Source organism: Homo sapiens, chromosome 16, assembly GCF_000001405.40.
Source record: "Homo sapiens chromosome 16, GRCh38.p14 Primary Assembly".
NCBI lineage: Eukaryota > Metazoa > Chordata > Mammalia > Primates > Hominidae > Homo > Homo sapiens.
Genome location: NC_000016.10, coordinates 73,407,221 through 73,432,511, shown reverse-complemented (window position 1 = coordinate 73,432,511; position 25,291 = coordinate 73,407,221). Strand labels below are relative to the sequence as shown.

Sequence of the window (25,291 nt, the reverse complement as noted above, 5' to 3'; positions counted from 1 at the left end):
CAGATCAACTAGATCAGTGGATCACATAGGATTCCCAAGAGTCTTTTCAGAGGGGAAGGAAGTGGGTTGGGCTCTGGACTCCTCACCCCTTTGTCAAAGAGTCTCACTCCAATTGATCTGCTTTATATTGTCTGTTTCAATATCCAGTCTATCAAATGGAGTTATATGCTAACTCCAGCCACCTAATAGGGGCTGCCTAGATTGCTGTGTGGAAGACCCCAAGGCCAAGTCTTGGATGTATGAGAGAGAGAGCACTGTAATCAGTAGGTACAGGATGAGAGAATAATGGCCTAGAAACCATGCATTTGCTATCCCTAGTATCAAATTTCTTTTGAAAACAAGGCTCTGAGACTGTAAAAAGTTTGAAGACCACGAGACTCTATTTCTTGTGCTTAGACAGAAATCTTCATCCATACCTAGGCGGAGACGGATTTTTATTTTAAAGATGAAAATTTCCCCTGTGCTCAGGGTGACCTCGGAACTCAGAACTCAGCAGTTCTGAAGAACCTCTTGGTATAAGAGAGCAACACGCTGCCTTCATAAACTCAAACCCAAACATTCCCCTTGTCAAATGGAGGAGAATCTCGGGGATGAAACTAGAGTCCCAAGGTCTAGTTGCTTCTCCAGACACAGAGACTCACCTCCAATGACACTACTGGGAGACCCCAGCTTGTCCCGTGAAGGCCATCGCCTGCCTCCTTACACTTGGTTTGAGGATTCTTGGGGGCCATGTACTTAATACATTTCCAGTATTGTAATCAAAGTACATCCCTTTGACCAAATTGCTGGGATTTTCTCTCCCAAGGAAATAAATCATGGAATTGTATATAAAAGATATTCATTACATCATTATTCTAAATAATAAAAACTGGGATTAACTGCATGTCTAACAATCAGTAATTAAATTTATAAATAATGGAACATTTATGGAATATATATGTACTTTTATAATCAGAAGACTGTTTTTTCTTGAGACAGCGTCTCCCTCTGTCACCCAGGCTGGAATGCAGTGGTGTGATCTTGGCGCACTGCAACGTACACCTCCTGGGTTCAAGTGATTCTGCCGCCTCAGCCTACTGAGTAGCTGAGATCACAGGTGCATGCCACCATAGCCCGGCTAATTTTTGTATTTTTAGTAGAGATGGGGTTTTACCATATTGATCGTGCTGGTCTTGAACTCCCAACCTCAGGTGATCCGCCCGCCTCAGCCTCCCAAAATGCTGGGATTACAGGCGTGAGCCACCGTGCCTGGCTGACATAAAAAAAAAAAATACAAAAAAACAGATTCCCATAAAAATTAGAGTGCTTTATTTTTAAGAGTATCCCTAGAAACAGACTACCTTAGCATGTATAAAGGAAAAGCAAGGTGAATTTTCTGTCAATGCCGTTTAGGGTTAATAGACAAATTGCATAATTCAGGCTAAAAAGAAATCCACTCTTTCTCTGTAATTAGATGTTTGTCCTTCTTTATCACAAAACTTGCTTCAAATTTCCATTTCTCTTTACTTCTATGGAGACAGTGAACATCCACACCTTATGTTCTAGAGCAGGCACAATTGTGACCCACTAGCTGACCCATTTTGTCCCCAGTATGTCCCAACAATGTGCTGGGCACTGGAAACACAAAGGTAATTAGCGCAACATCCCTTCCTTTGAGGGACTTTTTGGGCTAAGTGGGTCACAGAAATGGAAACGATTAAGAAATAGTGCCATGTGTCACCTGGTTCAATGCACTGGCCACTTACTTCATGCCAGACATTGTCCTAAGTGTGTATGTGTCACCTCCCCTGTTCATGACCTGCAGCAAAGGCACTGTTGCCCCATTTCAGTGATGGGGACATTAATACCCCCACAGGCTCAGCAGCACAAATGACAGGCAGAAGAGCCAGGGCTCCAACCCAATGCTTCTTGTTCCTACTCCTGTTATAACTCTTGAGCCAAAATGATGTTGGAATAGAAGAGGAAACCCTCTCTTCTGCCCGCAGAAGCGCCATGTGCAAAGGGATTTTCTTTTGATCTGTTTTGTTTCCTGCTGTGTCCTCAGCACCTAGAACAGTGCCCAGAAAGAATGTAAGGTGGGTGTGGTGTAGCTGAGGTAGCTTTGCCAGGTTTAGTGGAGGAAATAAAGGACACCCATATACATTTAAATTTTAGATATTGCATCATTTTTAGTTTAAGTATGTCTGATGCAATATTTAGGGCATTCTTTAATTAAATGGATTCATTGTTAATTGAAATGCAAATGGCACTGGGCATTCTAGTGTACCTGGCAACCTCAAGCCAAGGCAGTGGATGGCAGGTTGTAATGAGTTGAGTGGAGGAGAGCCAGCAGGGTGACCCGTGCCTGTAATCCCAGTGCTTTGAGAGGCCAAAGAGGGAGGATCACTTGAGGCCAGGAGTTGGAGACCAGCCTGGGCAACATAGCAAGACCCTGTCTCTACAAAAAAAAATTTTTTTAATTAGCCAAGTGTGGTGGTGCATGTTATATCCCAGCTACTTGGGAGGCTGAGGCAGGAGGATCGCTTGAGCCCAGCAGGTCAAGGCTGCAGTGAGCAGAGATCACACTACTGCGCTCCAGCCTGGGCGACAGAGCAAGGCCCTGTCTCGAACCAACAGAAAAGAGTGGAAGAGAAGGCTCTCATCAATTACACAAGTCAGGGAAGGCAGAGCCCCAAGCCATCTGTGGGGGAGCGAGGATGGTTTTCCCAGGGAGCTGTGAGCAGCCTGGTAGGGACAACCAGACTAGAGAGCAGAGTTCCCACCGGGGGCCTATGGGTCGACATATTTTGTTCCATCTTCAAATTTTAATTAGTTCTCAACGTTTAAAATCTGGCAATTTTACATTTTTAAAAATTGGCTTAAAAAAATCCGAAGGTCTTGGCCTGGTGCGGTGGCTCATGCCCGTGATCCCAGCACTTTGGGAGGCCAGGACAGGCGAATCACTTGAGGCCAGGAGTTCAAGACCAGTCTGGCCAACATGATGAAACCCCATCTCTACTAAAAATCCAAAAATCAGCCGGGCATGGTGGCGGGCATCTGTAATCCCAGCTACTCAGGAGGCTAAGGCAGGAGAATTGCCTGAACCCTGGAGGCGGAGGTTGCAGTGAGTCGAGATTGCACCACTACACTCCAGCCTGGGCAACAAAGTGAGACTCCATCTCATAAAAATTATATATATATCTGAAGGTCTTTATTTCCAAATGACATTTGATAGGAGGTGAGTAGCAGCTGTCCCCTTGGGCATGGGGGAAGGCTGGACTCTATCGGCTTCACTCTCCTATAGCTTACTTTACCTACTTTGCTCTCTTGAACCATAGAACTTCTGTGCTGCTATCCCCAGAGTAGGGTGATTGGGAGAGTTGCTAGATATGGCCTATAAAAATTGACAAAAGATGAAAAAGGAAGGAGGGCCCTGCCCCAGGTGTAAAGAGCCTGTAAACCATGCTAAGGGTTTTCCTCTAGACATGGAGGGGTCCACAGGGTGTTGTGTAAACCAGGCCAGTGGCATACCTGGATGTCCTTTAGAATATGACTTTGGTGGCCTCGTGAAGGAAGAATGGGAGCAAGCAGTGGCTGGAGTCTGTTGGAGGCCCCTGCAGTATTCACTGGATATTTAACATGGTGAGGCTGACGGGAAGAACGCAATAGAGAAGACAGTTCCAATAATTACTGTCTTCAGATCCTTATAGAAGGGCCTCAGACCCTCTGGAATCCAGAGGATTGGATTCAACTCCTGAGCAGGTTGTAAATGTGTGAGCTTCAATGGAGAGCGTGGCAGGTTTAAGGGATAATGACTTGTAGTGATCCATATTTATTCTATCTCTCTGTCTGTCTATTAATTTATTTATGGTGGGGAGGGAGGAGGAAGGCAACAGATGGAGTTATAAATGGACATGACCCTGCATTTGCTCTGCTAACTCCCCTCGGTTTAAGGAAACATGGCTATTCCTCGACCCTGCATGCCTGGCTGACCCAGGCTGTCCTCGCTGGTGGCTGGTGGCTGGGGGCAAATGCATTTGTAATGGAAGAGGTGAACTCACTGTCGGGGGTTCGAGGGAGCGCGGGGAGGTGTTTTCTTCTGTGGTAATAAGATTGTCAGGGCCCCTTCCTGGCTCGTGCATTGCATGGACCGATGCAGGCTGCCAGAATGGGAAGCTCACTCTTCTTAATTAGTCCTAATGCAGTTGAGGCTGTTTTCTTAGCCTGACCAAAGGGAGTAGTAATTAATATGGTGGGAGAGACAGACGGAGAGTTCAAGGCCGGCATGTGTGCCCCCGACCCTGGGGTCACTGGGGAAGGGGAACCTAGAAGACAATAGCCTGGCTCCCGCAGGCCTGGACAAAGGCTGGTTCTGGTTCTCAAACCTCAGCTCACTGTGGCCTTCCCATTAATGAGAAATTCTGTCCTTTCATTCCTGGCAAAGGGACCCGGCTTAGTAGACCTCCCAAATAATATGTGTGTGTCTACGTGTGTGCATGCATGTGTGTGTGTTCTAAGGGATAATTTGTGTCCCACTTAAATAAATTCACGAGGCCTGGGGCAGTACCTGTTTCGGTTTTTTTTCTTTTTGAGACAGAGTCTCGCTCTGTCGCCCAAGCAGGAGTGTAGTGACACAATCTTGGCTCACTGCAACCTCTGCCTCCCGGGTTCCAGTGATTCTCCTGCCTCAGCCTCCCGAGTAGCTGGGACTCCAGGCGTGCGCCACCACGCCCAGCTAATTTTTGTATTTTTTTTTTTTTTAGTAGAGACAGGGTTTCACCATATTGGCCGGGCTGGTCTTGAACTCCTGACCTCGTGGTCTGCCCACGGCGGCCTCCCAAAGTGCTAGGATTACAAGCATGAGTCACTTTGTCCAGCCAAGTACCTATCTTAATGCTAGTCAGTGGCTACTGTTGCTGCTGGTAGGGCTGGATTTGTACCACCAACGTGCAGGGCACAGGACTCATTTCACCCTAGGTCTTGCACAGCATCCTGGAGCTAGAAGCTTGGAAATGAGCATGGCCTTTTGCAAGCTGGGAAGAGGCTATCTGGGTGGGAGCAGGTAGCTGGTGCCCAGGTACTGCTGCCGTTAGCGAGCTGGGTGGCAGGCAGGCTGCCGATACACACACAGTGAGGACAAAAGCCAGAGGCAGTGATAGCTCCACCTCCTAGCAAATCCCCACAGAGAGAGGGAATGAGGGCCCCAGAATGATGGTGAATGGGATGCAAACAACTGTCTCACTCATTACACATGACCTTACCACTCACAAATGATAGGTAGACACAGAGCCACAAATAAGTGACAATATATTGCATTTGTAGTGCCTCTTCCTTGTTTGGAGATGCTGATCTTTCCAGCAACAAAATTTAGTTCTTTTTAGGTTTTGCCCTCTACTTTCCTTTGGCTTGTTCTTCTTCTCCTCTTTTTTTGCTTTAATTAAATATTGCTGCCTAACTCTTTCAGGTCAGCAGCAATGTCACCAGCATCAGCCATGAATCATGGCTGAGCTGACATTTTAAAAATGGCATCGTCAGGGTAGCAAGTGCAGGCCAGACACCCAGGCACAATGACTGGACCCCGTAAATTACACTAAAAGTCTAATCAGAATAATCAACACGTTGACATCTTTATGCATGTGGGCAGAACTCGGGGAAGGAAAAGGCACTGACTTGGATTGCACTGAGATTTTGCTTACAGCAGATTCTGGCACTTTCTGAGGATGCAAAAAGAATCTTCAAGGTGTATCTTTTGAGTATGCAGTGACTGCTTTCCCCACATTTACATGTTGTGATTAAAAACAGATGTAATGAGTATCTCTCAATAGCATGTTGGTTTATATGCAGCTCATGCAGCCGTCATATTTTTTTTTCCTGCAAACCTCCCACATACACATATTTCTTCATCAGTGCACGTACGCATGAATGGCTCTCTCTCTCACACACACACATGCACACACACACCCTATGATTATAATTTGAAGACATTCTTGGGTACTCTGGCTACAGAACTGCATTCAAACTCTGTCATTATGAGAATGGTTTTCATAATTCTGACCAGTTCTGTACTGATCCCCATTAATGTGATTTCCTGAGGCCAAACAGGATAGCCACCCTCCAGCCCAGGCCATTTATCACCTTTCTTGCTCCATTTTAGTTTTTGACCTTTACTTTTTTCTCTCTCAAACCTCCCCCTACCCTTGTCACCTCCTTTTTGTCTCTCTAGTTTGCAAACAAACAAACAAAACCTCCTAAAGCTTTGTCCTCCCTGACTCCAAGGGGTGCTTTTGGCCATATATAATGCAGAAAGAGCACCTCCCAGTGATTAATTGGCCCCACCAGGTCACAGGCACAGAGAGCCCATTTGTCACCAGTGAGCTCTGGCCATCACAACCAGGCTGTCCAGGGCTCATGGGCGGCCCAGTGCACACCAGCTGGGACTCACCAGTTAGTACCCACTGAGGTGTGGCCAGCCAGGGCCCAAGGGTGAGTGCTATGGGTTGGCTGGAAGGAAGAAGGGGGACACAAAAGGAAGAAAAAGTGAAAAAAAGAGGATCACCGTTGACAGAGGAGAAGCAGAAGCATTTTTTTTTTAATGGTAAGGAAGTAGGCTTTATTTTTCTTTCACGGGTTTCTCATTTATTGAACACTTACTGTGTTCCAAGAGTGAACAAGATATGGTCCCTTAATCTGGTAGTGGTTTGATAGATTAGACCCATCTGATTTTCGCAATGATCTGAAGAGAAGGATATAGCTGATATCTGTGTGCTAATTTTTCAGATGGATAAACAGTGCCAGGATCTCTATGATCTGCCCACAGCCAGATGATTATGCCTCCTCCCCTAGAGCTTCTTTTGTTCCATCACACACGAGAGGGGTCCATCAGCTCGACCCATCTGCCATACCCTTGAGTCTTCCTGCAATGCCCTGACTATAGAACAGCCATCAAACCCATTAACTCCTGGCTATAAACACCTAGGCTCTGGTTTCACTTTTGGCTTTTTCTACATACCAGCCATAAGGCCTTGGACAAATCACTTTAGCGCTTGGATCCTTAGTATTTTCATCTATAAAATAGGTTTCATGCCCTTAGAATTGTGACGATTATATGAGATTATAAAACTTGGGGTATTATGCTTGGCATAGATTAAGCAATTCATAAATTGCTAGGTGTGTAAGGTACCTATGTATGTATTTCTATAATCATTCTGTAAGGGCCGAGCTGTCTGGGTACCTGCAAGTGGCCCCAGCATCAGCACGCATCCCAAGGCACAAGACTGGGGAGAGAGATAACCAAAGAGATAGATGTCTACAAAGTACTTGCCAGGAATATACTTCCCCAGCTTCTCCCTCTCCACCCTCCTGCTACAGTGCTTCCTGCAGCCAAGCATTTGCTCAAGAAGTACTTGCTGATCATTCCATTGGAAAGCACTATATTAGGTGCTATGCACTGGTCAGGGCAGAGAGGGCAGGAAAAGGGCAGTGACAGAAACACAGAAGAAGAGAGGGTGGGGACAGGCAAGACGCACTCCCGCTGGTGGTCTTTGGCCCAGTTATCAGACCCCCTCATGGGCATGTCCTGCTTTAGAAAGCTCCAGATAAGAAAGTCCAGCCCAGTGAACAATTTCAGGAAAGGGAGATTTCTATAGAATAACGAACTCTTTTGCTTTAAACAAACAAACAAAAAAAGATGGTGAAAGATGGTGATTACTTTTAAGTCAGTAGTTCATACTAGTTCTTTTTTTTCTTTTCTTTCTCTTTTTTTTTTTTTTTTTTTTTTTTGACACAGGGTATCACTCTGTCTCCCAGACTCAAGTGCAGTGGCGCAATCATAGCTCACTGCAGCCTCAACCTCCTGGGCTCAAGTGCTCCTCCCATCTCAGCCTCCCAAGCGGCTGAGACTATAAGCATGGACCACCATGCCTCACCATGCCTCACCAATTTTTCATTTTTTGTAGAGACAGGGTCTTGCTACGTTGCCCAGGCCAGTCTCGAGCTCCTGGACTCAAGTGAACCTCCCACCTGGGCCTCCCGAAGTACTGTGAACAAAACCATCAGTAGCCCAGATTGTTGAGTTGCTCTGCTTGTGAGTACATATGCAGAAGGTGCAAGGTGAGCCATGTTCAAGCTACCAGAAGCCCCTGGAAGAGCAAAAGCTAGAAATGGCCTCTGTGTTTCAGACACTTTCTCCTTATGAGGCACTGAGTTGGGCACCTTGCATGACAGATTTCACTCAAGTTACACAGTGATGCCACAGAGTAAGTATCATTACCTCTGTTTTACAAATGAGTCAGGAAGCATGACTAGTGAGAGACTACTAGTAAGTGGTCTGAAGCCTTTCTATTGGTCAGTATGCTTTCGGGGTGAAAGTAGTAAGAATCTGTTTCAAAGTGGCTTAAATAATATGAAACAGTTTTGTCTCACCAAACAACAAATGTAGTGGTAGGGTGGGCTCTCAGATGGGTGGATTCAGTGGCTCATTGATGTCACCAAGAAATTTTTCCATTTCTTCCGGATAGTGCTCTCCTTGATGTGTTAGCTGGCCCTTCTTTCAGGTCCCCTTTGAATGGTAATATTGGCACAGAAATTAACATCTCACAGAGACCCAATATTGTCCAGAGATACAAAGGAAGCATCAATTTCTAGATCTCTCTCACTTTTTTTTTTTTTTTTTGAGATGGAGTCTCACCCTGTCTCACAAGCTAGAGTGCAGTGGTGTGATCTCAGCTCACTGCAACCTCCACCTCCCAGGTTCAAGCGATTCTCCTGCCTCAGCCCACTGAGTAGCTGGAATTACAGGTGTGCACCACTGCGCCTGGCTAAGTTTTGTATTCTTAGTAGAGACAGGATTGTGCCATGCTGGCCAGGCTGCTCTCAAACTCCTGACCTTAGGTGATCTACCTGCCTCGGCCTCCCAAAGTGCTGGGATTACAAGCATGAGCCACTGTGCCCAGCCAATTTCTAAACCTCTTAACAGCAAACTTTTCCCCAGAATCCTTCAGCAGGCTTTCCTTCCATTGGGACAAATGACCAGACCTAAACGCATCACTGACAAATGCATGAGATCACAGTCTGCCCGGTCTCACCAGCACCCAGTGTGGTGGAATGTGGAGGATAAGACCCTAGGGCAAGTCAAAAAAGGATGAAGGGGAACTGGGAGTTGAGGCAACAGTTACCTTTGTCAGCTGCAGCCAAGACTCCAACACTCTCTGAGAGCAAAAGAGGAAATGTTAGTCGTCTAGCTATAAAACTGTGTCTGTCCAATGCTCAGCAAAATTGAAGGAATTCTGATTTTTTTTTCCCTAACAGCTCTTGAATAACAAAGGGTGGTGTTATAGGATGAATTTTGTCCCTCCCCAGCCCCTGCAAAAAATCATATGTTGAAGTCCTAACCCTCAGTATCTCAGAATGGGACTGGATTTGGGGATGGAGTCTTTGAAGAGGTAATTAAGTTAGAATGGTAAGGCCTGATCCAATTTGACTGGGATTCTTATAAGAAAGAAGGGGAGATTAGGACTCAGAGGGAAGACCATTTGAAGACACAATGAGAAGACAGCCAAGGAGAGAGGCCCCAGGAAAAACCAACCCTGCCAACACCTTGATCTCAGATGTCTACCCTCCCAGAACCTGTAGCCTTCTTTCTCACAGAGAAAATGAATTTCTACAGCCTGAGCTATTTTGTTATGGAAGCCCAAGCAAACTAACCCAGGAGGATTGTCTGTTTCACAGTTTCCTTCAAATCCATAGTATTCAATGGAGATTGGGAATGACATAGGTGGTAGAGGGAGTTGGGAGGATGACTGCAATTATTAAGAGGAAGGAATAGAGCAAAGAGGCAGAGGAAGGAGGCACATGAGTATTTGAGAGGAAATGTGAATGCCTTTGGAAATTTGACCCTTTGGGCAGTAAATCTAGACCTAAGTCTGGGTGCTAAGAAGTCATGAGGCCACTGACCTCTGGGAAGTTGGAAGGGAAAGTTGCTTTGGGGAGAAAAATGACTTTGATTTGGGGAAAAGTCTCTTTATTCTTTGTTAACTATGAAATCAATAATTTATGCATTTTCTGTGTGCCAGTCACTGTGCTTGGGCTGTGAAATGGATAGACAGGGTGGCCCCTGACTTCAGGGAATTGGTATTACTAAAAAAGAATAAGTTTAGCATGAGTGGTGGGAGGAAGATTAGTTTCAGACATTTTATTGCCAACCTCCAAAGCTCTGTTGTCAGGATGTTTAGGATATGCTGGAGCCATTGATTTGTAAAGACAGATGACCCCATTCAAGGGTTGAGCAGAGGAAAGTATCTGCAGAGGTGGCCTCCCAAATAGAAAAAAAAAAAAAAATCTTCTGAAAACATCCTGTTTTATTTCCATGAATTATCTTCTTGGGCTTCTTAAATGGGAGAAGAAAAGAAAAAGATGCTTGGATTTAAAGTAGAAATAGGTAGAAAGCAAGAACATCCAGAAGATAACCTGTGCTGCCTGTTTGCCCCGGAAGCGTGGTAGAGGAAATGTACCTTTTGCATGAGGAAGCTCCAAGCAGGTGCCAGGTCTTATTGTATGTTGTGATTTGTCCTGGAATCTTGTAGGCCTTTGCTCAGATGGAGGAATCTAGGTGGGTTTCATGTAGGCTTTTCTGAAGTTCTATGCAATCTAGGGCTTTATTCCCTCATTATAAGTCAAGGCAGGGCTTTGCCTCAAGTTTTGTCCTGGGCATGTGTGCTCCTGAAGAGAAAACCAAATCCTGACCAACAAACCCATCCCCCACCCAGACAGAAGCCCTGGAGAGATGAAACTAGGGTGGCCCATCCATCAACAAACCTAGGTTCTGCCACAAGTGCAGATTCTGTATCAGTCAAATGAAACAGGAGGTTTATGGAGCTCCACAAAGATGACAGTTTAGGTTCTCCTGCCTAGAATTTCTTGTCTTTTTTTTCTGTTGATTTTTACTGGCATAAAATGTTGTACATTTTGTACATTTATCACTATGGTATGGATGTTTAGACGATGACTATAAATGAAATACGGATGTATCCTAAAGATATTTATGTAATTTAGCAAAATTATTTTGCAAATTCATTCAAAAGAATCTGCTCAGTTCACGTCTTGTTAGCATCACAAAACATTTCACAAATCACACCTTAATGTGGGAACAAGCACACTTTACTTAAACATACCAAATATGTGAATGTACAAATAGTGTTTAAAATATTTTGTACAATAGATTGTGATCACTCTGTTAAAATACCAATTTGTAGAGAAAATTGATTTCAGAAAAATATCTAATCACAGTGCCCCGTGAAAGCTGCATTTTTTCAGTATCATTTAATTTTCAAGCCAAGAGATTTGGACGGTTGTCTCATTTTGTTTTCCTTTTATTTTTTTTTCCATTCATTTGCTGAACAATCATCTTCTGAAACATCCCACTTCTGCTGTGGTATCAACTGGCATGTTACCAAAAAGATGTAAATGATTTAATTGAATTAGTTTAATTAGGTAAATTAACAGTTAAGCATATCACACACAAGCTTGTTCTGTTTATACTACGTTATGGAGTTAATTTAGTGCAGAAGGAGAATGGGCATGACCAAAATTCCAATGAAATGAGCCAGATTAGCTGGCAGAGGGGAAAAAAATACAAAGATAACAGTTGCTGGCATTAAATCTGAGTAAATAATTTATGTGCTGGATTCATTATGTAATTTGAGTCATAGACAACCAGTTGATAGTCAATGAGTGTGCAAAAACGTTGCTACTGAGTGGAAGCGTGAAGACGACTGAAGAGTTTCTGACCTTTCCCGAAACATATTCCCAGGGAAATTCCAGCGGTCCTTGGTAATTTAGACAAACTGAGGCGACACCAGCCAGCTTGGTTCATCAAAAATCTGAAATAAAACAAAAAAACAAATGAACCGTAGTTTGACTGCCTTCAAGTATATGCCATGTCATTACATCAAACAAAGCAGGGTTATTCCGTCTTGGCAATATGCGCTTTGTTTGGGAGGACTGGCATTGGAGGGAGTTTCTAGGGCATTGTAGGATGCTTAGCAGAATCCCTGGCATCTACCCGATAATGCCAGCGACGCCGCCTTCCCTGCAGTGGTGATAACCCACATGTCTCAAGACGTTGCCAGATGTCCCCTGGGCAGGGGTGTCAAAATAACCCCAGCTCAGAACCACTGAAATAAAACCATTAGATACTATCTAATATGAATCTTTAGGAATTCTGCTTTAGTAAATTATTCACAATGAGTTGTAACATTCATAGCACTTACACAGAATCTTATATAAAATTTAAAAATATTTATTACCTCAAGTATTTGAAACATTTCCTGGCTGGGCACAGTGGCTCATGCCTGTAATGTCAGCACTTTAGGAGGTTGAGGCAGGCTGATGGCTTGAGCCCAGGAGTTTGAAACAAGCCTGGACAACATAGTGAAACGCTGTCCCTAGAAAAAGTACAAAAAATTAGCCAGGAGTAGTGGTGCATGCCTTTAGTCCCAGGTACTTGGAAGACTGAGGTGGGAGGATTACTTGAGCTCAGGAGGTCGAGACTTCAGTGATCTGTGATCACGCCTCTGGACTCCAGCCTGGGTGACAGAGTGAGACCCTGTCTCCAGAAAAAAAAAAAAATTATCTATCTATATATATATATGTTAATTCTCATTCATTCACTCAGCAAGAAGCAGGTATTAACCACTAAGCACATAGTATCATTAGATTCAAAAAGTATCAACACCCTTATGGACAAGGAGTCCCAGGCAGACTTGTGAATGAAGAAATCACATAGCCAAAGCTGGGCACGGAGGGGCGCACCTATGATCCCAGCTATTTGAGAGGCTGAGGCAGGTGGGAGGATGGCTTGAGCTCAGCAGTTCAAGTCCAGCCTGGGCAACATAGCGAGACCCCATCTCAAAAAAAAAATCATATGGCATATAGTAAATGCTAGCAAAGGTGGGAAGACTGAGGGAACCACATTTTTAAGAGAGCCCCAGCCTTACGTAAATAGCTTTTAGTTCTGTGGGGCAGCAGGGGCCACCACCAAGGCATCAAAGGCTGAGCTGAGACAGTCACTGATCTAGTGGCAGTGAGAGAAACTGGGAGGTTTTAAGCAAAGGAATGTTACATACAGTCAGTGTTGACTTCTGGAAATAGCAAAGGTTTTAAAGTCACACTCACATGAGTCAAATACTGATGTTGTCACTTGCCAAGTGAGGCAAATTGCAGATTTCTGAGCCTCATGTCCATATCAATAAATAATAGCTACCTCATTGCAAATGGTGAGTGAGACAGTGTCTATGGCGCACTTAGCATACTATCTGCCCCATAAAAGTCACTCAATAATTATCAGTACTTCTTTCCTTCATTAGCCGGTCTGTCTCACTCAACATCTTGCTTGTACAGAACACAGTGGAAAGCCTACGTTTACAAGGTTTGCACTCCCCAACATCTGGGTTGTGTTGTCAAACGTCGCTGAAGTTGTCCAAAACCTTGCCACTGGATTTTGTTTACTCTAGAGCTGAGTGTTTAAATCCCTTAAATTGGTAACGTCAGTTTGACGTCCATGTTAATCTTCCACGAGATTTCAGGATCTGGAATTGGGAGGTGGCTTTCTCTACCACATCCCCAGGTTTGGAGCCAAATGTGGTCATTATTACCACAGAAATCAGGGAGGACGTGAAAAAGTATCCATTGGAAGAAGTGATTTTGTTTATATATATGTACAAAGGAATGTAAATGTTTTGCCAAGCAAGTTTCTGGCAACAGTGCCTCCAATGCCAGTATTTTCATTCTGTAAGGAAACAGCCACAACCAAACAGAGGGGATGGGAGACCTGTTTTACATTTGGAAATACGGACAAAGCCACATTCCCACCCCTTCTGCAAATGTATCACTAACGTACACAACACTTTGTATATATAATGGAAGGCAGGGCTAAGCTGTTGTCTGTGGGATTCTGACATGTCTCTTTCTTTTTCTCACACATACTCTGCAGTGATACATCTATAAATGAAGGGGACATTTCCAAGAACACATTTCATTGTCAGAAACATATACACACTATGTAGAACAAACACAGCCTGAACAAAGATGTCCTCTTCCCCCCACCACTCCTTCCCTGGGTACCCACTTCTCATCCTTTCCCGTGACAGGGGGACTCCCTATTCCAGGTGATCGGGCCAGGTAGCTTCTGGGAGTTGAGCCTGTAGGGCGGCTGCCCCAAAGTCACTCAACAGAAGTCCTGGTACCACCGTCTACCAGCTGCAACTGATGAGGAAATCGGACTCTTCCTTAATCCCTTCCACGCCCTGGGGCTTATTCTCAGAAGTTTATCTAACTTGTGAATGTTATGGCTATAATAACGTACAAGTTCTGATTAACCCAAAAGGGAAATAGCGAGTTCCCAGTGGCCTCTGTCCATCTTTTAGGATTTAGAAGGTTCTAGAAGGAATGGTCAGCTGCTGTGCTTTATAGCTCCATCCCATGACTTACTGTCTTTCCTTGCATCCCACAGCCTTTTCTTTTTCCTTTTTTTTTTTTTTTTTTTTTTTTGAGATGGAGTCTCGCTCTGTTGCCCAGGCTGGAGTGCAGTGGCGCGATCTCAGCTCACTGCAAGCTCCGCCTCCTGGGTTCACGCCATTCTCATGCCTCAGCCTCCCGAGGAGCTGGGACTACAGGCGCCTGCCACCATGCCCGGCTAATTTTTTATTTTTTTATTTATTTTTTATTTTTTATAGAGACGGGGTTTCACTGTGTTAGCCAGGATGGTCTCGATATCCCAACCTCGTGATCCACCCGCTTCAGCCTCCCAAAGTACTAGTACTGGGATTACAGGCGTGAGCCACCGCACCCAGCCTCTTTTTCCTTTTTAAAAAATTATTTTTAAATTATTTTAGACAACAAAAAATTTGCAAAAATTGTTCAGAGAGTTTCTGTGTATTCCTCACCCAACTTCCCCAATGATAAAAATCCTAGATAACTGTGGTGCAACTATCAAAATTAGGAAATCGGCTGGGCATGGTGGTGCATACTTGGAATCCTAGGTACTCAGGAGGCTGAGGCAGGAGGATCACTTGAGCCCAGGAGTTTGAAGACAAACTGGGCGACATAGCAAGACCCTGTCTCCAAAAAAAAAAAAAAAAAAGAAAAGAAAAAATTCCTTTTCTTAATTAATGGGTACAATACTAATACCAAAGTATAGATTGTATTTGGATTTCACCGGTGTTTTCACTCACGTCCTGTTTCTTGGATCCTATCCACAATCCTAAATGTAAGACAGCTTTTAGCTGTGTTTCCTTCAGCTCCCTTAATCTATGACAGCCTCTCAGTCCTCCCTTGTTTTTCACACCTGGACACTTGAAAAAGTATTGCTCCATGACTGGATAGAATGTATAGGAAGGTTCTCATGATTTGATCGAAGACATGCGTATGTTTTGGGCAGCAATAGCAGAGGTGACGTGCCCTTCTCAGGGTATTATATGCGGGGTGCGTGATGTCAGTTTGGCTTATAACTGATAGTCCCTTTGGTCACTTGGGTAAGGTGGTATCTGCCAGGTTTTCATGCCGCAAAGTTACTGTTTTTCCCTTTGAAACTGTTAAGTATATTTTGGGAGGTACGTTGAGATGATGATAATATCCTACTCCTCAACTTGCTTTTTTTTCTGTTTGAGACGGAGTCTCGCTCTGTCGCCCAGGCTGGAGTGCAGTGGCGCGATCTCGGCTCACTGCAGGCTCCGCCTCCCGAGTTCACGCCATTCTCCTGCTTCAGCCTCCCTGGTAGCTGGGACTACAGGCGCCCGCCACCGCACCCGGCTAATTTTTTGTATTTTTAGTAGAGACGGGGGTTTCACCATGTTAGCCAGGATGGTCTCGATCTCCTGACCTCGTGGTCCACCCGCCTCGGCCTCCCAAAGTGCTGGGATTACAGGCGTGAGCCACCGCGTCCGGCCGACTTCTCAACTTTCGTCTGCTAAATTGAGTACCCCTGGCAGCACCGGTCTTGCCTACGACATTTATGACTGTGGTATCCTCACAGGGACTTTTCCATGTTCCCCCTAAAGTTAGAAATTAATTTTCATAATGAATGAGTCCAATACTGGTTTTCTAGTCCTCCCATTCCATCTACCTTTATTCATCAGCACTCCCACAACCTTTGGGCTGACTGTCTACAACATTTTTATTCTCACCTTGTAGAATTTCTCCTAATTTCCCACCCTGGTCCCTATAAAGGATTCTGTAAATATTTTCAGAAGTGGGAAAGAAGAGGAGAAAGAAGACAAGCAAAGGAATAAAAATGCCTACAGTGATCCCAGTCTGTGCTCACTGTGTGACTTTGAACAAGTCACTGTCCTTTGAGCTTCTGTTTTCTCTCTGTTTTTTGTTTGTTTGTTTTCCGTTTTTTGTTTTTTTTTTTTTTTTGAGATGGAGTCTTGCTCTTGTTGTCCAGGCTGGAGTGCAATGGCATTATCTCTCGGCTCAGCACAACCTCCACCTCCCGGGTTCAAGCGATTCTCCTGCCCCAGCCTCCCGAGTAGCTGGGATTACAGGTGCCCATCACCTCACTCAGCTAATTTTTGTATTTTTAGTAGAGATGGGGTTTCACCATGTTGGCCAGGCTAGTCTTGAACTCCTGACCTCAGGTGATCCACCAACCTTGGCCTCCCAAAGTGCTGGGATTACAGGCATGAGCCACTGTGCCCAGCCCCATTTTCTCTTCTGAAAATGCCATCTCTAAGCCCCTTCCAGCTCTAAAATGCTGTGATCCTATGACAGGCAGCTGGGTTGTGATGGAATCTGCAACTGGCGTCACCAAACTGCCCAACAGTGAGATGAACGAACATGGGGCGGTGACGGGACAGACAGGGGAATTCAGTAAGGGGAGGAAATGGCCTATGAATCTTTTACAAGCACTGGGGATACTGACATTAATAATACTTTCCACACGGAGAAATACATTGGAGGGAATGCTAAGGTTTGAGGAGGAAGCAGCTCCATTTGGGATGAAGTCTTTTATCTTTGCCTGGCCCTTGAAACAGATGAATCAGCCCTTTTCTCCCCAGATTGAAGAATCCATAGTGTGTGTTTCCACCATCTGTTTCATTACTTTGAATCAGGCTTAATACCCATTTAAGGCTTAATGGTTGCAGAATTATACTGGATGTAAATATAATTTTTAACAGCATGGCTTAAAAGCTGAAGTTTCACTTTTATCCTCTATATAAAGCTCACAAAACATGCAGACCTCAAGACTAAAAATTTTCTTAATGTCTTATAAGCCAAGTCTGTTTCTTCTGGTTTGCAGCCCAGAACCACTTCGTATTGATATTTTAAATATACAATTAGAAATTACTGATTATTTTGCCTATCTTGCTAGCTGATTTTAGAACATCGGTCATTATTTTAAAAAAATAAAATAAAAAACTGAGAGAGAAACATTTGGAACTACAAAAGGGAACTTTGGCTCCCAGGAATGAACTGTGAATGCTGGATTGGGCTAGACACCCAGGAATTGATCATGGGTAGTGGTCTTTGTTAAAGAGAGAGAAGAATCCAGAGATGAGGAAAATCAAAATTTGTCCCCAGCTGGGGTTATTCGAGCCAGTTCTTGTGAAACTCCTTTCCTAGCTAGTCTGTTCTCACCTCTGCTGGCTAATAGAGGAATGTACTGGTTTGGGATCCAGCCTCTTGTTTTGTTTTGTTTTGTTTCAGACGGGATCTCACTCTATCACCCAGTCTAAAGTGCGGTGGCGCAATCACAGCTCACTGCAGCCTCAACCTCCCAGGCTCAAGTTCTTCCCACCTCAGCCTCACAAGCAGCTGGGACCATAGGCACGTGCCCCCATGCCTGGTGGATTATTTTAAATTTTTGTAGAGATGGGGGTCTCCCTATGTTGCTCAGGCTGGTCTCAAACTTCTGGGCTCAAGCAATTCTCTCATCTTGGCCTCTCATTTCCCCCAGTGGGATCCTACCTCTTAATTACCCTTTTTAAATAAAGAACTTTTGAAATATCACTGTAATAAAACTGCTTTGGTAAATATAAGTTGGAGAATCACAGGGAAAGTGAGGGTAGGAGAACGAGTGGCCAATTTGTCCCACCTTGTAGTGAAGATTTGGTGTTACTGATTAAACTGTAAGTTTAGTTCTTTACAGACAGGGACAAACATCTCTTAGTGACTGCTGTACTGTGAATTCCATACATAGTGCCTGGCACATAGTAGGTGGTCGATAATCTGTGATGCAGCAATAAATGGTTAAAAGGTAGAAATTATCTCTGTGTGGGTTATACCCTGAATTATGGTCCCTTTCATTTACCTTTCAGGTAATGGTTGGAGCTAGAGGTAACCTAAAAGGAGTAACTACACTTGAAGGTCTATGCCTTAAGTTTATATACTACTTTGTAACAATATTTTTCATAATGTGTTTCTTGGAAGGTTAGTAGATATTATTCAGTAAAAGAGTCCTGTGGTCAAAGTGTGAACTGCGAAAGGTTAAACAGTTTTTTTGTTTACTTTTGTTTTTAACTGCAGGACTTGTCAGGGCCTTTGATCATTTGTATGGGTGTTGGGATTTACCAAGGGAGGCATAAAAACTTTGAATATTGAATCTTTGTTTTCTTAAAGTATCCTTCATTCTAATAATCCAATGATCACAATTTGAGAAACATTGTTTATAATATGCAGAGCATTTTTACTTGGGCAAATCATCTTAGAACATTTGGTTTCTCCAGTCTTTGACCTTGAACTCATTACATACGTGTAGAAAAATTTCCAAATCAAATGCATAACATGAACAATGCCCCTAGGTATGCAAATACTTGTTCAGTGGATGGATAGATGGATGGATGGTTTAGTGACTGTATCAGAATAATATTGTTAGATAAATGACATCATCAGCACCAAGATCTGGGAGAGTTCTTGAGATTTCCCCAAAACCACAATGTTCTCACTTCGATTGCCTCTCTCCTCCACCCCAGCCCCCAGCATAGAGCTACTGATTGCCTTTTGCTAATTGTAGGAGCTTCTAAGTGCTGTTTCCACATCTGGTCTCACTGCCCTCCAATCTGTCCACACGCAGGCCTGCTATGTCTTGGGGTCAATTACATGGCAGTCCTTCCGCAAGGTGCCCAGAGCCCTCTCCAACACAGTCCCAACTCACTCTTCCAGCCTCATCCTCCTTCACTCCCTTATGTACAGGTCACATTTCACCCAAACCAGCCTCCCCTCTGTTTCCCAAGTTTCCTTTGAACTTTCTCACTCCTGTGCTGTTCTTTGCTCTGTTCTGTGTCTGGAATGCCTGGGGAATCCCACGTCATTGATGGCAAGGGCCTCTTGAACTATTACCTATTTTTTCACTTTCATTCCAAACCATCTTCTTCATAAGAATGTCTCTAGTCCTGCTATTTTCTGAATCTCTGTGGCCTTCTCTGATATCATTCATAATCGCCAGTAATCCATCTATTTGCCCCATTTCCACCTTCGTGCCCAACACGCACACTGTATTGTGAACTCCTGCAAGGCAGCTTTCTATACATTTTTCCCCCAGTACTTTGCACACGGTGGGCCCTTAGCTATAGTTGGTGAGTTGATCGCTCCTGTTAAGATCCATAAATGCATCTGTATTATTGCTCTTCAACAGCGTAGCACAGAGAGACAGATATAGATCTTGCCCTAAGAAAACACGTTGCAAATAAGAAAGCCCAATTATCTTCTAGAATTTGGAAGAATCCAATGTACTAATAGGCTATGATGTTGCAGAAGTTCATTTTAAGTCTGTTGTTCGGAACCTGGGTGAAATACTCCCCCAGAAACAGTATCACGCATGGTGGTTGTATCTCCCGCCAGCCCACAAAAGCCTATTTAACTTGTAATGTGTCTAAAGTCCGATACTAATAGCAGCCCCAGGGGTTCATCGGCCTCTTCTCTCAGGCCATCGGCAGTCTTAACACTACAGACCTTGCCCTGAGGCAAAGTATGAGGCCGGGATGGAAGAGGATAAGGTGGATGATGGAGGGAAAGGAAGGGGAGGGGAGGGGAGGGAGTTGTCTACTGTAAGCAAGAATGAGGGAAGCACAAAGAACATGGCCATGACAAACTGAGCAAGGGTCTGGTCTGCCATGGCAATTCAGGTGGAATGGGTACAGTGTGCACTAGTGCAGGGACTTCAGGAGACAAACACATTCTCTGACATTTACTTTTTTTTTTTTTTTTTTTTTTTGAAACAGTCTCTCACTCTGTTGCCCAGGGTGGAGTGCCGTGGCGTGATTATGGCTCACTGTAGCCTTGACCTCCCAGGCTCAGATGATCCTCCCTTCTCAGCCTCCTGAGGTAGCTGGGATTACAGGTGTGCGCCACTATGTCCGGCTAATTTTTGCATTTTTTGTAAAGACTGGGTTTCATCTTGTTACCCAGGCTGGTCTCAAACTCCTGGGCTCAAGTGATCCACCTGCCTCGCTCTCCCAAGTGCTGGGATTACAGACATAAGCCACAGATCCTGGCTGATATTTATTTTTATTGGAAAGTCTTTGGAAGACTGCCTATCTGTCTTAGAGGTCTTTAATTGCTCTTCCTTAAGTTTTAGCCCCAATAGAAACTAAATACATCAACAAAGGAACCAAGAAAGACTTATTTCCACACATGGAGGCACCTGCTATCATGTAGACTGGAGGTCACACACTCAAATGTCTAAGGAGACAGGCAGGCCATAGAAATTCATGAAACACAACAGGAGTAAGGATGCTGGGCGTGGCAGTAACCTGCAGGGTACATGTCCCATAAAAAGGACCAGCTTGCACTAAGCTTCAGTCACATGTCCACCCAGGGTTCAAAATATTCCATGTTTTCAAGAGAAGCCATCGATCTGAATTTTTATGTACTATCTCCTGGATTTTATATGCTGATAGTTAATTTTAAAATTTTAAAACAAGGTAAACTTATACCCCAACACCCTCACAGGCATACAGATACACTTATGGGTCCTACCCATGACATCTTTGCTGTATATGGTCATATTTCACTTAATGTGATCCTGAAAAAAAACAAAGAAGTATAAATGGAATTTTTGTGGAGAGAATCATATATTCCCATTTGATGGCCATTAAAATTTCAGAAAGGTATTCCCACAGATAAAGATTTTTGTTCAACAACACTCTTGAAAAATCATACTTCAGGGAATAGTTTATGTGCATATTTCAAAGGGCAGGTGCCAATTTCTGATGAAATTTTAACAATAATACACAAATCTCCTATAAAATTTAATTGCTAATCTCTTTAAATCCCACTGTACAAGAAGTCAAAAAATTGAGGACATTTTTGGCCAAGGACTGAGGTTCTAAAGTCGGAAATTCACATCAGCATTTCTGAAGTCAACTCTAGCTTGTGGTTGTTCCCAGTCTCTTCGGATTCTCTGTCACAGGGCCCTGTCTTTAAAATTCCAGCAGCATGAAAGCTGTCCAGTTGGTGGCCATCCGTGACATATTCAGAAGTGCTCAATGCCATCGGCAGCTCTAGGAGAGCAACCCATATCCATCTTATGTATCAGAGCTCTGTGCTATGTCGGTGGGATGACAACTGGATATTTATAGCCTGGCATTTTGATTATTCGGTGCTGGGCTGTAGTTCTGCACCTGCCACTGTGAACCTGGGCAAGTTACTTTGAGTCTGTGTGCTTTAGTTTCCCATCACCCATGGGTTGTTACGGGAAGGAGATGGAATCATGCTTGTGTGTGTAACACACATGTTTTATACTTAGTAGATAGTAAAAGCTGTGATTCTTCATTCTTAGGAATACCATTAGTATCATCAGAGGATGCAGCCTCTCTTGTTGGGTCCTTCCTCCATCTACTGGATGTCATCCTTTCAGATCACACTGGTCCAAGAGCAGGAGATGGGACAGCACTCATCTGGGCTGTGGCTACAAACTGAAGACTTTTTTCTTAATTGTGGATACACAGTAGTTATATATATATTTTTGGGGTACATAAGACACTTTTATACAGGCATACAATGCATAATAACCACATCAGGGTAAATGGGGTACCCATCACCTCATGCATTTAGCCTTTCTTTGTATTACAAACAATTCAATCGTACTCTTGTAGTTTTGTTTTGTTTTGATTTGTTTTGTTTTGAGACAGAGTCTCTCTGTGTTGCCCAGGCTGGAGTGCAATGGTGCGATCTTGGCTCACTGCAACCTCTGCCTCCCGGGTTCAAGTGATTCTCCTGCCTCAGCCTCCTGAGTAGCTGGCATTACAGGCAGCTGCTACCACGCCTAGCTAATTTTTGTATTTTTAGTAGAGATGGGGTTTCACCATGTTGGTCAGACTGGTCTCAAACTCCTGACCTCAGGTGATCCACCCACCTGGGCCTCCCAAAGTGCTGGGATTACAGGTGTGAGCCACCATGCCTGCCTCTTGCAGTTATTTTTGAATGTACAATAAATTATTGTTGACTTTAGTCACCTTATGGTGCTGTCAAATACTAGATCTTATTTATTCTATCTAACTACATTTTTGTAGCCATTAACCATCCCCACTTCCCACCTGCACCCACCCCCCTGCCCCACCCACTACCCTTCCCAGCCTCTGGTAACCATCAACCTACTCTCTTTCTTTATCTCCGTGAGTTCAATTGTTGTTCATTTTTAGCTCCCACAAGTAGGTGAGAACATGTGAAGTTTGTCTTTCTGTTCCTGGCTATTTCACTTGACATAATGTCCTTCAGTTCCATCTATGTTGCTGCAAATTATAGGATCTCATTCTTTTTATGGTTGAATAGTACTCCATTGTGTTATGTACAACATTTTCTTTATCCATTCGTCATGTACCCTTAGGTCACTTCCAAATCTTGGCTGTTGTGAACAGTGCTGCAATAAACATGAGAGTACAGATATTTCTTTGATATACTAATTTCCCTTCTTGGGGATTATACCCAGCAGTGGGATTGCTGGACCATATGGTAGCTCTATTTTTCGCGTTTTGAAGAACCTCCAAACTGTTCTCCATAGTGGTTGTACTAATTTACATTCCCACCAGTGGTATGCAATGTTTCCTTTTCTCCACATCCTTGCCAGCATTTGTTATTGCCTGTCTTTTGGATAAAAGCTGTTATAACTGGGGCATGAAAACAGTTCTTAAAAGGAAAGGTGCAAGCATGTTCCAGGAGTCAAGATTTCTTACCATGTATCCAAGGCATGGCTGTCCCCAGACCAAATGAAACCATATTTTCTTGTCTTTGGCCACACCCAGGGTTGAGGACTCAGCCAGGATATCTCTTCTCCTTGCTGAGATATGTCACTGGGGTCTCCAGGGAACCCTAAGCTTTTAAAGGTCAGGACATTTTCTCCTGGCTTATTCTCTGCAATGCTGTACCTTGGTGCTATAAACCAAAAGGTATTAATAGTTGGCTTGGTAGCAAGTAAGCTGCTCATTTGGGTGAATGCTAATATAGCAGATAAGTTAACACTTCTACTTTACTGTGGCTGACCTTGACCAAATGAATGAATCCCTGGATTGAATGCAGAGAACGAAGTGTTTAAACTAACAGTGGGAGTCCCTTGCACAAGGCCATCCTGAAATGAATGGGGAGAGAGCCAACATTTTTTTTGGCGGGGTGGGATAATCTTTGGCGTTCATGTCTATAAAGTTTGAGCAGGTCTGGAAGATGAGGACAACTTCGGTTGCCTCGCTGGAATTTGATGCCGCTTGTGGTCCTCTCCCATGGGAGAGGACCAAACACCTGAGTTCCATGCAAAGCCATGCCTGTCTCTTTTCTGAGCAAGGGCTCAGACCCTGGCACACAGCAGCATCTGGCCAATGACCCAACCCTGTGGGCCACTCCCTGGAAATGTCCAGGCCACCGCTGTCCTGACTTCAAGCCTAGAGGGCCCCAAGTTCAGCTAGCTGGGAACGGATTTCCAAAGCCCCGCTCTGCTCGTGTTCCTCTCATTCCCAAAGGAGTAAGTATTCCCAGCCCAGAGGCTTCCAGACAATTGACACATATGGAACTGCAGCACTTCCAGCTGTTGGGATTCCAAGTTGCCTTTATTTCTTGGCTGGACTGCACTGGGGATGAAAAGGAAGGGTGGACGTGTCAATGAGGAACCAGTAGCAGCTGCATCTGCTGCTGGTTACAGTTATTGGCATCCAAATACCTTTTTATGTCATCCCATTGGCTTGAGACCTCACGACCTTGTCAGGGACTCTGGCTTGTCCGAGTTGATTTCTTCTGCCCAAGTTCACCCTCTCTAGTCGATTCTGCTCCAAGATCATTTCATCCACACGTCTATTTTTATGGTGGACACAACAATAGACTTTTCTTTCTCCTGTGTCCACTCTGATATCATTTAATGCAGAAATGCCTATTAGGGGGTCAGAATGAACAACCATCTGTTTGGGTCCCAGGCCAAATCCCTCCACCCAAGCAAAAAAAAAAAAACAAGTTTCACAGGTATCTGCAACCAGAGCTTCTTCCCCCACCCACCCCCATCCACTCCTGCAGCTCACCCCTTTTCACTCCCCTCCTCTTGGCCTCCCCAGGGGTCCAAGTCTCCTGTTGCCATCACAAGAGAAGGTGGATGCACTTCCCCAACTGCTGTTTGCTTTCCCCAGCCTGTAGGAATCAGAGGTTGGGGTAGGAATTGATAAAAGCCAGCATTTTGCCATAAAAAGAATCTAAGAGGGCAGTGGAAGACCATTTGCACGATTCCCCAGGCTGTCTGTCTTTGAAAAGGAAGATCTGGCCAAACCTACAGAACTTGCTGCCTCTGGAGTTTACTCTTTATTTCACTCTGTGCTGCACATCCTTGTGTATGAATTAAAGATTAAAGTCAACTTAACCTGCATTTGCTATATCTCTATATGCAGGAGAGGAAGGGAGGGAGCGAGTGTGTGTGTTCAGTGTGATCTCCTGGTTCTAACACCAGCCTAGGAGGTGGGAGACTAAAGGTGGAAAGCTCAGTGGTCTGTTCCTGACCCTGCCACTCCCTCATGCTGTGGTCTCTTGCAAGTCATTGAACTGTACTGTACCTCCATTTCTCCAACCATGGAATGAGCACAGTGACACCTTCTTGGACTACTGATGTGTCCTCTGCCAAGCTGTGTGGGTCTCAGAGCATTGATGATATCATACCACAGGCCATGGAACAAAGGACCCAAGGGGTGAACCACCATTCAGTGGAAAACCAGCATTCAGGCCCTTCCCTCATTTTCCAATGCAATCGGTTTTGGATTGTACACAGCCGAACTGTCATTCCAGCTACTTTTAGTCACAAAGCATAGCGGCCGCATTTACAGTCCCTTAGAACAAGGCTTCTAACCTCTGCACG

The 25,291-nt window shown here is 44.3% G+C and overlaps 1 protein-coding gene and 1 long non-coding RNA gene across 2 annotated transcripts in view; one reads left to right on the top strand and one right to left on the bottom strand.

Moving 5' to 3' along the window:
* Window positions 1-25,291, top strand: part of ZFHX3 (zinc finger homeobox 3) — a 1,109,046-nt gene that overhangs the window by 459,419 nt on the left and 624,336 nt on the right. The gene's annotated exons all lie outside the window — the stretch shown is intronic.
* The window catches only part of LOHAN2 (lncRNA oncogene in head and neck cancer 2), a 34,592-nt gene continuing 20,416 nt past the window's right edge, over window positions 11,116-25,291 (bottom strand). Inside the window, exons 2-3 of the long non-coding RNA NR_038234.1 lie at window positions 12,282-12,419; window positions 11,116-11,855 (exon numbers count right to left, since the gene is read on the bottom strand). This is a non-coding gene — a long non-coding RNA (lncRNA oncogene in head and neck cancer 2). The remainder of the gene's footprint in view (window positions 11,856-12,281; window positions 12,420-25,291) is intronic.